The sequence below is a fragment of the Homo sapiens genome, chromosome 6 (assembly GCF_000001405.40).
Source record: "Homo sapiens chromosome 6, GRCh38.p14 Primary Assembly".
Classification (NCBI taxonomy): domain Eukaryota; kingdom Metazoa; phylum Chordata; class Mammalia; order Primates; family Hominidae; genus Homo; species Homo sapiens.
The window spans coordinates 149,749,997-149,766,262 of record NC_000006.12 but is presented as its reverse complement, the minus strand read 5'-3'; the positions used below and the strand labels follow the sequence as shown (position 1 = coordinate 149,766,262).

General features: G+C 39.4%; 1 protein-coding gene across 8 annotated transcripts in view, besides 5 other annotated features; it reads right to left on the bottom strand.

Moving 5' to 3' along the window:
• PCMT1 (protein-L-isoaspartate (D-aspartate) O-methyltransferase) overlaps positions 1 to 16,266 on the bottom strand; it is a 61,727-nt gene that overhangs the window by 45,159 nt on the left and 302 nt on the right. The gene's annotated exons all lie outside the window — the stretch shown is intronic.
• Positions 14,586 to 15,088: an enhancer, noted in NCBI's record as "H3K4me1 hESC enhancer chr6:150072311-150072813 (GRCh37/hg19 assembly coordinates)". NCBI's record gives its function as "activates a minimal SCP1, AML or CMV promoter by ChIP-STARR-seq in naive and primed H9 embryonic stem cells {active_cell/tissue: H9 hESC(naive and primed)}" and the evidence as "EXISTENCE:reporter gene assay evidence [ECO:0000049][PMID:30033119]".
• Positions 15,089 to 15,591: an enhancer, noted in NCBI's record as "H3K4me1 hESC enhancer chr6:150071808-150072310 (GRCh37/hg19 assembly coordinates)". NCBI's record gives its function as "activates a minimal SCP1, AML or CMV promoter by ChIP-STARR-seq in primed H9 embryonic stem cells {active_cell/tissue: H9 hESC(primed)}" and the evidence as "EXISTENCE:reporter gene assay evidence [ECO:0000049][PMID:30033119]".
• Positions 15,696 to 15,990: a silencer, noted in NCBI's record as "tiled region #3985; HepG2 Repressive non-DNase unmatched - State 1:Tss". NCBI's record gives its function as "represses a minimal TATA promoter and a strong SV40 promoter by Sharpr-MPRA in HepG2 cells {active_cell/tissue: HepG2}" and the evidence as "EXISTENCE:reporter gene assay evidence [ECO:0000049][PMID:27701403]".
• Positions 15,696 to 16,152: a biological region, named in NCBI's record as "Sharpr-MPRA regulatory region 3985".
• Positions 15,916 to 16,152: a silencer, noted in NCBI's record as "fragment chr6:150071247-150071483 (GRCh37/hg19 assembly coordinates)". NCBI's record gives its function as "represses an EF-1alpha promoter that drives an FKBP-Casp9 reporter gene in an ReSE screen in HepG2 liver carcinoma cells {active_cell/tissue: HepG2}" and the evidence as "EXISTENCE:reporter gene assay evidence [ECO:0000049][PMID:32094911]".

Here is a 16,266-nt window from a genome sequence, read left to right as displayed (position 1 = left end):
TAGAGGATGTGTTTCATTTAACCAAGAGATAACCAGGGATATGTTGGCAAAGGACACATACCCAATTGTATAGCAAAGACAGAAATAAGGATAGGAACATGGGTGAAATAATAGCACTTAAATGTTACATGTTCTGACAAAGTAGAAAGAATACAACTAAAAACAATGGGAGGAGGAAAAAAGGGAAAGTATAATTAGATCACTGACTGCTGTACAGGTAATAGAAGGAATCAAAGCATACCATTTCATACTGATAAACCAGATAGTAAAAAAAAAAAAAAATTTATTTTTTTTTTGAGACAGAGTTTCACTCTTGTTGCCCAGGCTGGAGTTCAGTGGCGCGATCTCCACTCACGGCAACCTCCACCTCCCGGGTTCAAGCAATTCTCCTGCCTCAGCCTCCTAAGTAGCTGGGATTACAGATGCCCACCGCCACACCCAGCTAATATTGTATTTTTAGTACAGGCAGAGTTTCACCATGTTGGTCAGGCTGGTCTCAAACTCCTGACCTTAGGTGATCCACCTTCCTCGTCCTCCCAAAGTGCTGGTATTACAGGTATGAGCCATCATGCCTAGCAAAAAAATAAAAAATAAAAAATAAAAAATAAAAAAATAAGGTCAATTAACGACACTATAAAGGGTATAAATACAAACTTTCCAAGTAACAATGAATATTTTTTAAAATTAGCAAAAAAGGCACATCAAATAGAGAAAACAATGTAAATAGTAATAAACTAGCAAAGACAAACTTATATGGTCTTTCCATTTTAAAATATAAATTTTGGATAAATTACCCAAATAGAAAATATTATTTCTACCCGAAGAAGCATAGGCAAGCTACCCAAAAAGGTAATTAGAATAAAACACTGAAAGCATTTTTTAATTTTTTTTTTTTTTTTTTTTGAGACAGAGTCTCGCTCTGTCTCCCAGGCTGGAGTGCAGTGGCACGATCTTGGCTCACTGCAAGCTCCACCTCCCGGGTTCACGCCATTCTCCTGCCTCAGCCTCCCGAGTAGCTGGGACTACAGGCACCCGCCACCACACCCGGCTAATTTTCTGTATTTTTAGTAGAGACGGGGTTTCACCGTGTTAGCCAGGATGGTCTCGATCTCCTGACCTCGTGGATCCGCCCGCCTCGGCCTCCCAAAGTGCTAGGATTACAGGCGTGAGCCACCGCACCTGGCCGCATTATTTTATTTTTTATATTTATTTATTTATTTATTTAGAGACGGAATCTCACTCTCGCCAGGCTGGAGTGCAGTGGCGCGATCTCGGCTCACTGCAAGCTCCGCCTCCCGGGTTCACGCCGTTTTCCTGCCTCAGCCTCCAGAGTAGCTGGGACTACAGGCACCCGCCACCACGACTGGCTAATTTTTTGTATTTTTAGTAGAGACGGGGTTTCACTGTGTTAGCCAGGATGGTCTCGATCTTCTGATCTCGTGATCTACCCGCCTCGGCCTCCCAAAGTGCTGGGATTAAAGGCGTTCAGCCACCGCGCCTGGCCCCATTTTTTAATTTTTAAAGAGATATGGTCTGGCTTTGTTGCCCAGGCTGGAGTGCAGTGGCACCATCATAGTTTATTATAACCTCAGACTCCTGAGTTCCAGTGCTCTTCCTGCCTTAGCCACCCCAACACCTAGGCCTACATGTGCATGCCACCACACTCGGCTAATTTTTAAAAGTTTTTTTTTAGAGAGTGGGTCTTGCCATGTTGCCCAGGCTGGTCTCAAATTTCTGGCCTCAAGTGATCCTCCCACCTCAGCTGAGATTACAGGTGTGAGCCCCTGTCCCTAGCCTGAAAGCATTTTTTTTTAAAGTTTTAAAAGCAGAGTAATAATAGCAGTGATATTCGCTTAATGTTTACCATGTGAAAGATACAGTACTAATAAACAGAATCTTATGTTGTCTCAAATAAGCCTATAAAGTAGGCACTATTATTATTTCATTTGACAGATCATAACATTGAGGTTAGAAAGACTAGTTAAGTAGTCCAAGATAACAGAGCAAATAAGGGGTAGGGTTATTCAAATTAAGATGTTAGATTTCTATGATCACTTCACTATACTGCTACTAACATATTCAAATAGCTTAGTGAGTTCTACTAATTCATTTCCCAAAATAATTCTTGAGTGGTTCATTTCCCCTGAAATTAATTCAAATCCCAGAGGGTGATTCATAGACTCTCAAAGTCACAAGAGGCTTTAGGAGCCATTGAGTCTAACTTCATAAATTGGTACCATATTCTCTTCTAAAAGAGTTCCATTATTGTGGTTCTTACTAGCTCATTCAGACCACTCTGATTATTAGACAATTTCCCTGTATTAAGATGAATCTCCCTTTTCATAATTCACTCACATGACACTCTTAGTGTTATTCTCTGAAGCCACAAAGAATATATTGAATTTCTATCTAGTCAACCATTTTTTACATAAAGATAAATCAGGACTACCTCCAGCTTTATTTTTTTCAGGTTAGGCAGCTTCACTCAACACTGCCAATTATTCATCAATTTTTGAAACCATCATCATATTCACTGTATTCATTCTTCTCTAGATGGATACTTAAAGTGTGACATCTTAAAGATTTTACTTGAGGCACATTCTAAAAATCAAAGTAAATTAAAGAAATCACTTCCTTCAAGCTCGATAATATACTTCTATCAAATTTATGTGAGCTTCTTTGGCTCTACAGATATGAAGGCATATGGAAGTTACTAAAAACTCTAAATTGTTATTAATAGCATGCCATCAGCCATTTATTAAAAAGCTGAACCCATCATGTCTCAGAATAAAGCTTTTTTAGGCATTACTGGGTGGTTTCCAAAATTTTCACAAGTTTCTTATTATTTATTTTTGCCCAGGATCCCATGTTCTAAAAGATGCTTAAACCAAACTATTATATATTTACTAAGCTATTAAATAATTTTTCTGTCATTGGTAATCTATGATATATATATCATAGATATATATATCATAGATATCATAGATATTTATATCATAGATATCATAGATATATATATCATAGATATCATAGATATTTATATCATAGATATCATAGATATATATATCATAGATATCATAGATATATATCATAGATATCATAGATATATATCATAGATATATATATCATATATATCATAGATATACATATCATAGATATATATATCATATATATCATAGATATACATATCATAGATATATATATCATAGATATACATATCATAGATATCATAGATATATCATATATATCATAGATATATATATCATATATATCATAGATATATATATCATATATATCATAGATATACATATCATAGATATATATATCATATATATCATAGATATATATATCATAGATATATATCATAGATATATATAACATATATATCATAGATATATATATCATAGATATATATCATAGATATATATATCATATATATCATAGATTATCATAGATATATATATCATAGGTATATATATCATAGGTATATATATATCATAGGTATATATATCATAGATATATATATATCATAGATATATATATCATAGATATATATATCATAGATATATATATATCATAGATATATATATATCATAGATATATATATCATATATATATCATAGATATATATATATCATAGATATATATATATCATAGATATATATATCATAGATATATATATCATAGATATATATATCATAGATATATATATATCATAGATATATATATCATAGATATATATATCATAGATATATATATATATCATAGATTACCAGCACTCTAAAATATTTCTAACAAACAGAAAAGTAATTTGATGTTTTACTTTGCATGTACAGGCTAATTAGGGGTAAATGTGCAATTACCATTAGGCTTTTCTGAAATAGAGAACAGCTTGAGAGCCACCCATACCCGATCTGCTTGCCGCCCTAGGGTCTAAAGACCCTCATTAAATGATTATAATAATGGCTAATGTTGGTCCAAATATGCAACTGATCCAAATGAAAACAGGATTCAAAAAGGAGACTACAATAGAATCCAAGCTATCAGCCAAATAATAAAAACCTTGAAAAAATTAGGGTCATGGTAAGAAAAATATGTTTCTTTTCCCAACTTGAAGCGTGGGTGAAAACGGGCACAGAGGATAAATCAAATTCCAGGAAAAAAAACAAAAACACTATACAAGAGTTATGATTTACATATAAGGAAAACTAAAATGTAGCAAGATTTAAAGCAACTGATGAAGCATTAAAAAACAAAGGAAAAACATTTGACAGTCTTCAATAGCAGAAAGGTCTGTAATATAGGAAACAAAGGGCAAGGAATAAACTCAATACACTACATCGTTCAGCAAAGTATGGATACAGTCATAAATATTAATGATGGCTACTGATTTTCAACTTTTGAAATCAACAATAAGGTGCAGAAGATTTATTTACTGCTCAAAACAAAATGTAAATGTTATCAACTTTGACAATGTAAAAGAACTGTCAATCAATTAGGAAATGAGAGCGGGAACTCCCTAATACCCTTTCTTACCAAGTAGATGGGTTAAGAGGTAGTGTCAGTTTATAAATTATGGAACAAGAAACAGAGGTTAAAGTCTATTACTTAAAGTTACAAAGGTAACCACAAAAGAGGAACCAAAAACTATGATATAACTATATGAAGGAAGGGGATAGGTTTGTATTGTGTAAATACTCATCCATCTTGGCAGGAGGTCAGCAGATGATGTCTAAAGTAGATAAAACATGAAACATCAGTTTAAGCATATGATTTAGAGATATGAAGATAATCACAAGAACCAAAAACAGTTAAAAGTGGTTCACTCTAAGCAATGAGTCTGGGAATGGCGAAGAATGTTGTTTTTCATTATAAGCTCATCTTATTCTGTATCTTTTAAATATGTACATATATTACTTGATTAAAAATTAATATTCTCAATTCTCCTATCATAGATAGTATGTATGTGTATATATATATGTACACACACACACACACACACACATCACCCTTACAATTAGCAAGATACAGCAAGGACTGCTTTACTTTCATAGTGATAAAATTTTATGTGTGTGTGTGTGTGTATTTCATGTTTTATCTACTTTAGACATCATCTGCTGACCTCCTGCCAAGATGGATGAGTATTTACACAACACAAACCTATCCCCTTCCTTCATATAGTTATATCAGTTTTATATATGTGTGTATACACACACACACACACACACACACACACTTTTTTACCTGCATCCTCTATAATCCAGTATATAGTGATAGAATTATTTGGGTGCATTCCCAATTAGTCTCCCTGTGATTATGTGAACTCTTACAATTAAGTTCTTGTCAATGGAACATACGTAGAAATTATGGATACAACTTCCAGAACATGCTCTTTTTGTTTTGTTTGTTTTTTGAGACGGAGTCTTGCTCTGTGCCAGGCTGGAGTGCAGTGGTACGATCTTGGCTCACTGCAACCTCCGACTCCCTGGTTCAAGCGATTGTCCTGCCTCAGCCTCCCAAGTAGCTGGGACTATAGGCATGCACCACCATGCCCAGCTATTTTTTGTATTTTTAGTAGAGACAGGGTTTCACAGTGTTAGCCAAGATGGTCTCGATCTCCTGACCTCGTGATCCGCCCACCTCGACCTCCCAAAGTGCTGGGATTACAGGCATGAGCCACTACACCTGGCCCAGATCATGCTCTTAAAAGGAATGGGTGTTTTCCTTTTTCTCCTGCTTACCTCCCCATTGGCTGGAAGAGGGAAATGGTGAAGGTAAACTATCTTTAACCTTGTAGATGAGGGAAAGAGCAGAGCAACAAGAGAGGAGTCTAGGTCTTCAGCACCATGGAACCACCATATTAGTCTTGAACTGTTTGGACTGCTATGGGAGAGAGAAACTTATTTTGTTTAAGGTATTGTGGTTTGGTCTTTTTTTATAGCAACTGAACAATGTACCCTCATGCACAAGGCATATGAAGAGGCAAATAAGACCAGCCTGCAGAACAGGATTGGAGTTGGAGCATGGGAGTAAGCTATATAAGACTCTAAAAAGGCCTGGAAAGGTAAGCAAAAGGTGTTTACACCTGATACAGTAAGCATTAAGAAGCCTAAGCAGCAAAGTGACATAACAGAAATCAGTACACTAGGAAAAAATCAGTATAATGTGTAGAATGGATTGGATCTGAAAGGAGGGAAAATGAAAAGTATGACAACCAATCAGACACCAGGTATGTTACTCGTAAGTTTCAACTACGAACCTGGGCTGGGATGGTATCAATGAAAATATGGTGAAAGGGATGGCTATGAAAGGCATTTGTAAGAACTGCTGAGTTAATCTGATGACAGTCTGAAAGAATCAGTGATTATTCTAAGATATATGATCTAAAATGCTGAAAACTCTGGCAGAAATAAAAAAATAAAGAGGGCCTGTGTTGGTATAAGCACTGAAAATACAGGTAAGAAAATAGGCCGGGCGCAGTGGCTCACGCCTGTAATCCCAGCACTTTGGGAGGCCGAGGTGGGTGGATCACCTGAGGTCAGGAGTTTGAGACCAGCCTGGCCAATATGGTGAAACCCCGTCTCTACTAAAAATACAAAAATTAGCCAGATGTGGTGGCAGGTGCCCGTAATCTCTGCTACTTGGGAGGCTGAAGCAGGAGAATCACTTGAACAAGGGAGGCGGAGGTTGCAGTGAGCTGAGATCCCGCCATTGCACTCCAGCCCGGGCAACAAGAACAAAACTCCATCTCAAAAAAAAGAAAGAAAGAAAGAAAGAAAATAAGCTGCAGATAGATTTCAAGTCATATAGAAACTTTCTAAGCTTGTTACAAGGTTACATCTAAATAAAAGAAATATTACCTTATTATATTAGTTTATAAGACTTGGATAGCTGTTAACCATCTACCCCACATTTCTTCTCTGCTATCAACATGTCTGGAAAAACAATAAGAAATTAACAAAACTTTCACCTTTTTCTTCCCATTCAGAATGATTAGGCATGATAGATGCTAAGTAGAGGCTGAGACACTCCCAGGTACTTTCTGTACTGAAAAAATGTGAAAGGAATTAGTTTTAAATTCACAACATGGCCGGGCGCGGTGGCTCACGCCTGTAATCCCAGCACTTTGGGAGGCCGAGCCGGGCAGATCACGAGGTCAAGAGATTGAGACCATCCTGGCCAACTTGGTGAAACCCTGTCTCTACTAAAAATACAAAAACTAGCTGGGCATGGTGGCATGTGCCTGTAATCCCAGCTATTCGGGAGGCTGAGGTAGGAGAATCACTTGAACCCACAAGGTGGAGGTTGTCGTGAGCCGAGATCGCGCCATTGCACTCTAGCCTGGGCAACAAGAGCAAAACTCCGTCTCAAAAAAGAAAAAAAAAATTCACAATATAATTAAGGAAGAATTTTATGTGATGGCAAGTTACGGTAAAGCATATTCTCTAAGTACCAGAGATTATTTTAAAATATGTACCTTCCTCTGCCAATCAATGGGGAAAAAAAATAAAATGGATCTTTCACTATACCTTAATAACTTTTAATTGATACATAGTATTTAGATGTTATTTCTCAAAGGATATGTTCCTTGGATTCCTTTACATCTCTAACAAACTACAATGTTATACAAAACCTAAAATGCAGGTAACATTAGAAGTTAATGTTAAACTTCTGTAGCTGGCTACTAAAACACATACACTCCACAAGTAATTTCATGCAATCCATAACACTATTAAAAAAAAGAAAAAAATTGGGCCAGGTGCAGTGGCTAATGCTTGTAATCCCAGCACTTTGGGAGGCCGAGGTGGGCAGATCACAAAGTCAGGAGTTTGAGACCAGCCTGGCCAACATGGTGAAACCTCGCCTCTACTAAAAAATACAAAAATTAGCCAGGCGTGGTAGCATATGCCTGTAATCCTAGCTACTCAGGAGGCTGAGGCAGGAGAATTGCTTGAACCGGGGAGGCGGAGGTTGCAGTGAGCTGAGGTTGCGCCACTGCACTCCAGCCTGGACGACAGAGCAAGACTCTGTCTCAGAAAAAAAAAAAAAAAAAAGAAAGAAAGAAAGAAAAAAAAAATTGGTTGGGCGCAGTGGCTCACTCCTGTAATCCTAGCACTTTGGGAGGCCAAGTCGGGTGGATCACTTGAGGTCAGGAGTTTGAGGCCATCCTGGCCAACATGGTGAAACCCCATCTCTACTAAAAGTACAAAAATTAGCTGGGTATGGTGGCACGTGCCTGTAAGTCCCAGCTACTCGGGAGGCTAAGACACGAGAATCACTTAAACCGGAGAGGCAGAGGTTGCAGTGAGCCAAGATCACACCACTGCATTCCAGCTTAGGCAACAGAGTGAGACTCTGTCTCAAAAAATAAAATAAAATATTTTTTAAATCATAAAATCTAGGTACAAGGGACCACTGGGGAAAAAAATCACAGAATCTTGGATTTGGAAGGGTCCTTAGAGATCTAGTGTACATTCAAATCTGATGACAAAATCCCTTCTACAATATCCCTTACAGTGAAATGGTCAACCATTCTTTGCTTCAACATATTTGGTGACAGAAAACACTTTTTCAAAGCCAACTTTTTGATTGTTAGGATAGCTTTGTGAATACTTACTTATAATGAGCCAAAATCTGCCTCCCATTTGTCCTGGTTTGACCCTCTACTACATGACATTTCTTCAAATTTAAACACCACTGCTCCCTAAAGGTTTTGCTAAACCAAACCACCTCCATCCCTTCAAAGCACCATGTAAGATGCTGATCCTCTTGTTATCTTCATCACTCTTATCCAATAATCTTTAGTTTTACACTGCCACCCTGAAAGCATTTAACCAAAGCTAAATATAATATTAATAAAAATATTTTTGTAACAGCACAATCGAATCTTTCCCCTCCTACAGCCTAAGATCTCATTAACCAGAATGTAATACAGCCAAGCATCAAGATCTACTGCAATCCAAAAGAACCTTCAGTGATGGCAGATCTATTCTCTATCTGCACTGTCCAACAGGGTGGGCACTAGCTCCATGTGGCTACTGAGCTCTTGAAATGTGGCTAATATGACTAAAGATATAAATTTTTAATTTTATTTATTTATGTATTTATTTTGAGGCAGTTTCGCTTTTTCACCCAGGCTGGGGTACAATGGAGCGATCTCAGGTCACTGCAAACTCCACTCCCCGGGTTCAAGCGATTCTCCTGCTTCAGCCTCCGAGTAGCTGGGATTATAGGCTCCTGTCACCATGCCCAGCTAATTTTTGTATTTTTAGTAGAGACGGGTTTTCGCATTGTTGGCCAGGCTGGTCTGGTACCCCTGACCTCAGGTGATCCACCCACCTCGGCCTCCCAAAGTGCTAGGATTACAGGCATGACCCACCACGCCCGGCCAATTTTATTTATTTTTATATAATTTAAATTTAAATATATACATAGGATTTCAAGTTTACTTACTAGTACCTATCCATAAGACTGGTTTGAAATAAGTCAAAATGAGAAGGCCTCTGGACTTTGAGGCTCCAATTTCTTAGGATTTTACCAGCTGGTTCTATTTTTCCCATGTGCATACAAAAGTAGTGGAATATTAAGAGTAAATGCTGGCTGGGCGCAGGGGCTCATGCCTATAATCCCAGCAATATTGGAGACTGAGGCGGGTGGATCACTTGAGCCCAGGGGTTTGAGACCTGCCTGGGCAACATGACAAAACCCCGTCTCTACCAAAAAAAAAAAAAAAAAAAAAAAAAAAAAAAAGCCAGTCATGGTGGTGTGCATCTGTAGTCCCAGTTACTCGGGAGGCTGAGATGGAGGAGTCGCTTGAACCCAGGAAACAGAGGTTGCAGTGAGCTAAGATCACGCCACGGCACTCCAGCTTGGGCGACAGAAAGAGGCTCTGTCTCAAAAAAAAAAAAAGGGAAAGAATAAATGCTCTTTTCTACTAGCAACACCTACTAGTGGCTAAGAACTGGTGCTGTAGATAGAAAATAATTTCATTATTTACAAAAGTAAATGCTTTTAGGATATAAAAACTACAAATCATAATTCTTGCATATTCAAATGCCTACTAAAAATCTCGACTTAAATGTCTTATAAGAAAAGCATTCCTCAAAATAATCTGATCTCCCACAGTCCCCTCCTCACAGAATAAACGTGGCTGCTCACTCACTCACCATTTCCAATTTAGAAAATGGCAAATCATTCCAGTTGCCAAGGCCTAAAACCTTGGTGTTGGATCCTTGCCTCCAATCTTTTCTCCCAGATCCTAAATCCAAATCTGGAATTCGCTATTTCTTCTGCCTGGAATGCTTATCCCAAGTCTACCTGCGTGATATGTGTCTACTCCTCCAGCAAATCTTTGGTCTAATGATACCTTACTGAGGCCTTCTCTACAACTATAAACCTACTGCCCCACACACTCTGTCCTCCCTCCCTACTTTGTCACTTATCATGTGACATACTATACTTGGCTGCTCCCATTAGAAGCTACAAGAGGGAGTGGATGTTTGTTTTGTTCACTGCTGTATCCCCAGTGCCTGTCATATAGAAAGCACTAAAATATCAGCTGACTAAATGACAAATTCCATAAACATTATATATGTAAAATGACAAAATCAAGAATGCAAAAGAAACATAAGTAGAAACAATTGATCATTAGGGGAATGGACTGAATTATTTTTACAAATAAAAATAGATAAAAGAACAATTGCTTTCAGTGGTCAGTACAGTAGTTTCCCTTTACCCACAGGAAATACGGTCCAAGACCCTTAATAGATGCCTGAAACCGCATACAATACCAAAGCCCATACAGCCCATACAGATACTCAACATTTTTTTTTTTTTGAGACAAAGTATTGCTCCATCACCCAGGCTCGAGTGCAGTGGCATGATCTTGGCTTACTGCACCCTCAACCTCTCGGGCTCAAGTGATCCTCCCATCTCAGCCTCCCACGTAGCTCATGTAGCTGAGACTACAGGCATGCACCATAATGCCCAGCTAATTTTGTTTATTTTTTGTAGAGAAAATGACAAATGTTATTTTCACTATGTTGCCTAGGCTGGTCTCAAACTCCTGGACTGAAGCGATCCTCCTGACTCAGCCTCCCAAAGTTCTGAGATTACAGGTGTGAGCCACCGCACTCGGCCTTCCTTAACTTATAACAGGTTTATTATGACAGGTTTACATCCAGTAAAGTAAAAAACTTGTAAGTCAAACCACTGTTAAGTCAGGGACCATCTGTATGTTGTTTTCTTCCTATACGTAACATACCTATAATAAAGTTTAGTTTATAAATTAGGCACAATTAAGAAATTAACAAAAATAATGAATAAAATAGAACAAGTATCATTACATGCCAGCACCATTATTCTTGCACTTTGGGTCCATTATTAAGTAAAATAAGGATTATTTGGACACAAGCCCTGTGATACTATGACAGTCACTGCTAACCAAATAGGCTACTAAGTGACAAACGGGCAGGTGTAGACAGCATAGATATGCTGAACAAAGGGATGATTCATGTCACGGGCAGGATCAAGTGGGACGTCCAGAGAGTTCCTCACGCTACTCAAAACAGCACACAATTTAAAACTTATGAATTGCTTGTTTCAGGAATTTCCCATTTAATATTTTCAGACCTCAGTTGACTTGGGGTAACTGAAACTTCAGAAAGCAAAACCATGGGATAAGGGAGGGACTACTCTATAGCATTTGAAGCCTATCCATTAAGTTAACATCCCACAAACCCTCTGGTTTAAATACCCCTGCTCCAGAACATCACCTCACCTACTCTGGCTATCTTCCTAAATTTTACCATGGCTTGAAATTATCTCAATACGAGTAGGAAGTAAACTCTAATATAAACATTATTTAAATAGTCACATTCCCTGGATTAAGCAGGCTCACGGTTTCAAATTAAGCTAATTTGTTTCACGAGCACATTACCAGTCCATAATCATAAAATAATTGTATTTTTTCATTTCTAGAGACCTGTGCTGTCCAATATGGTAACTACTGGATACATGTGGTTATTTCATTAAGTTAATTTTTTAAAAAATTGAATTTCGGTTCTTCAGTTGTCCACATTTCAAATGTTAAATGCCACATGTAGCTAGTAGCTACCACACTGGACAATATAGAGAACATCACCAAGCACTCTATAGGGCAAGACTGCTATAGACTTTTTCTAAAACATTATTCTAAAGCATAAAACTGATTTAGCTGATATGCTGGCAGAATTCAACCTTATAATTTTCAATTCTCCATGTCACTGGTTCTCAAAATGTGGTCCCTGGACCAGCAGTGGCACCACTTACAAATCTGTTAGAAATACAAATTCTCAAGCTCCGGCAATCTGTATTTTGAAAAGCTCTCCAGGTGATTCAGGAGATTTTGAAGCATGCTCAAGTTTTAGTCACTGTTCTAAGTTACTTAAGAGTGGTTATAATATAAGCCATGACATAAGAAATCTACCATTACAATCTGAAATATTCTATAAATGATGCATCAACTATGAAATCATACAACCACAGTCCTATTATGATAGATTTTAATACAAAAGGAAAACAAAATATTCTTAACAAATTATATTAAGCTTCATTTCTTAAAAACAAAACAAAACAAAACAAAAAAAACTATTGGCCAGGTGTGGTGGATCATGCCTGTAATCCCAGCACTTTGGGAGGCTGAGGCAGGCAGATCACCTGAGGTTGGGAATTCAAGACCAGCTGACCAACATGGAGAAACCTTGTCTCTACTAAAAATACAAAATTAGCTGGGTGTGGTGGCGCCTGCCTGTAATCCCAGCTACTCGGGAGGCTGAGGCCAGAGAATTGCTTGAACCTGGGAAGCAGAGGTTGTGGTGAGCTGAGATCGTGCCATTGCACTCCAGCCTGGGCAATAAGAGCGAAACTCTGTCTCAAAAAAAAAAAACCATTAAAAATGTAATTTCCTTCCCCTTCTAGTAAGCAGGCCCCTTTTCATTTCAACATCAACACAATCACATTTTTATATTTTTCTAAGATTTCAATTAAAAGCCTTTAATTTAGGAAGAATATACACAGTAGAATAATGAGGAAGGAAGGCAATATTTTCAAATTTTATGTCAATTACAATTTTCACATGAGCAAGTATTACTTTTATAATAAGCTAATAAAAAGAAATCTATTAGCTAGAATTACCTCAGCAAGAAGTTGAAACTAAAGTTGCACAAGTGTTACAAAAGAGGCTAAACAACTATTCTACTCTAATTTCCTCTTACCAATCATAAATCTAGTATAAAACTATTTGCAAAATCAACATCTATGTATATTAAATATTCCTTATTAAATTTCCTGACAGAAAAACATCCTTAGAAATTTCAGCTAAGAACAGTAATGCAATACATTAAAGTGATTATGAAACCACCGGGAAAAGATCTATCTAGTCTTGGCTTACCACAAATTTGGCCCAAAAAAGGAGAGACTTTAAGAGCCTGATTGATTACAAATTTCTGCCACAGCCAAGTGCCTACTATGATAACCTACCGGTGGAAAATTACTTAATCACAATTTGTGTACAAAATGTTTCAGGTACATATACTGCAATAGAAGGCACTGAGATCATGTTAAGGGATTTCGTAAAAAATATTTACAACATATTGAGCTTATGTGCCATCCATGAGAACCCAAATCATACTTCATACTACTGTTGTAGCACATAAATGTCCATTTCCAATCAAGCATCATTCCATAAAATGAACCTGACAATGCTTGACAAAATATTGACATCTAGGCTGGGCGTGGTGGCTCACACCTGTAATTCAAGCACTTTGGGAGGCCGAGGCAGGCAGATCACCTTAGGTCAAGAGTTTGAGACCAGCCTGGCCAACATAGTGAAACCCCGTTTCTACTAAAAATACTAAAAATTAGCCAGGCGTGGTAGTGGGTGCCTGTAATCCCAGCTACTCGGGAGGCTGAGGCAGAAGAATCGCTTGAACCCAGGAGGCAGAGGTTGCAGTGAGCCAAGATCACGCCATTGCACTCCAGCTTGGGAAACAAGAGCAAAACTCTGTCTCAAAAAAAAAAAATGTTGACATCTAAACATTCACCATGGCCAGGTGCGGTGGCTCACTCTTGTAATCCCAAAATTTTGGGAGCCTGAGTCCAACAAATTGCTTGAGTCCAGGAGTTCAAGACCAGCCTGGGCAACATAGCAAGACCCCATCTCATAAACTACCAAAAAAAAAAAAAAAACCCTAAAAATTAGCCTGGTATGGTGGCACCACTGTACTCAGGAGGCTGAAGTGGGAAAATCGCTTGAGCACAGAAAGCAGGGGTTGCAGTGAGCCGAGCTCACACCACTGCACTCCAACCTGGGTGACAGTGAAACCCTGTCTAAAAAAAAAAAATAATCAACATTCTCTCTTACCAAACACTAAAGACTCAGTTTCCACATTAAGTATTGTCCCCCCACCAAAAAAAAATCCAAAATGACTAATATATCAAGTACCGGCCTGGCGCGGTGGCTCACGCCTATAATCCCAGCACTTTGGGAGGCCGAGGTGGGCAGATCATGAAGTCAGGAGTTCGACATCAGCCTGGCCAACATAGTGAAACCCCTTCTCTACTAAAAATACAAAAATTAGCCAGGCGTGCTGGCAGGCGCCTGTAGTCCCAGCCACTCAGGAGGCTGAGACAGGACAATTGTTTGAACCTGGGAGGCGGAGGTTGCAGTGAGCTAAGACCGCGCCATTGCACTCCAGTCTGGGCTACAGAGGGAGTCTCTGTCTCAAAAAAAAAAAAAAAAAAAAAAAGTACCAACCATGTGCCAAACAGTACTCCTAATTTCTCTCAATTACCTTTGTCTGTCTAGCACAGATTTAGGCATATAACGGACATTTAATGGGCATTTATGAAAAAAAGGGATGACTGTTAAATTCTTAGAGAAAATTCAAAAAAAAATTTTTTTTTTGAGGCGGAGTTTCCTCCCTTGTTGCCCAGGCTGGAGTGCAGTGGCAAGATCTTGGCTCACTGCAACCTCCCCGTCCCGGGTTCACGCGATTCTCCTGCCTCAGCCTCACAAGTAGCTGGGATTACAGGCAGGCACCACCACGCCCGGCTAATTTTTGTATTTTTAGTAGAGATGGGGTTTCACCATGTCGGCCTGGCTGGTCTCGAACTCCTGAACTCAGGTAATCCACCCGCCTCGGCCTCCCAAAGTGCTGGCATTACAGGCGTGAGCCAATGAGCCCGGCCAAAAAAAATTTTTTTTAATGGTGCCAGCCGTTAAGGAAATTACAAATCGAGTTGAGAAATAAGACAAACACATGAAAAGCTAAGTAACACAGGACAATTAAAAATACCATGTGACAAGATATGATTACTGCATAGTAGCGAATAATGCTATAAATTCTGACCAGTGAGTTTATTATAGACTGCGGCCCTTGTAGTCTCCCAACAAAACGGGGACGCTATATTTCGATTTAAAAAAAGAAAGTGACACAGCACTCATCCTATCCTAAAATTATCATCAGAAGAAGGAATACAGTAACTAAGGAGAGTGATATAAAGAAACTCCACATAAGGTTTTTAAAGCCTATGGTAGCCCTGAAAAAAGTTAGAACATCAGACACACAACCCTCTGCTGATCCAGGACCTGCAAAGGCTCCTGAAATACAAGTCTCTCAGGAACAGCATCCCCTGTTCTTTCTCCGCCCCGCACGGAGCTTTCCACTGGACAGCCGCCCGAGAAATTTCTCCCAGCATCTGCAATGGCAATACTCTCATCTTCCTCCCCTCGCCTGTATCAGACGGTGGCATCTCCCTCCAGGGGAAAAAACGGAGGGCGGGGGAGGCTGCATAAGAGGGAAAGCTTGCAGCGAGGTTGATTATGGAGGAGGAAGGTGAGAAAAATGCAGGGGACGAGGGTGGGGTCTCCTGAGCGCCAGCCCACTCTCCATAAGGCCTAGCCCACACGCTCCCACCCCGAAGGCACGCCCCTCACAAGCCGGACCCGGACGCGGACCTGAGTGACAGCAGCATCACCTGTACTGCACTCCCTCCCCCAGGGCCTGCAGGGAGACGACTGCCCCTGCCCCCACCAGCAGCGGCCCCTGGCTCTTTCTCTCCCCTTCCAGTCCACGTCGTCGACGAGTGACAGGTCCCGAGGGAGGCGACTGCAAGCGCACGCCGTTCGGGACTACCGGGGCAACTCTGCGCCGAAGCCCTCCAACAGGCGCGCGGGGACAGACAGAACGTTCCGGACGGCCCAGGGGGACCCGGTCCAGGCCCAGC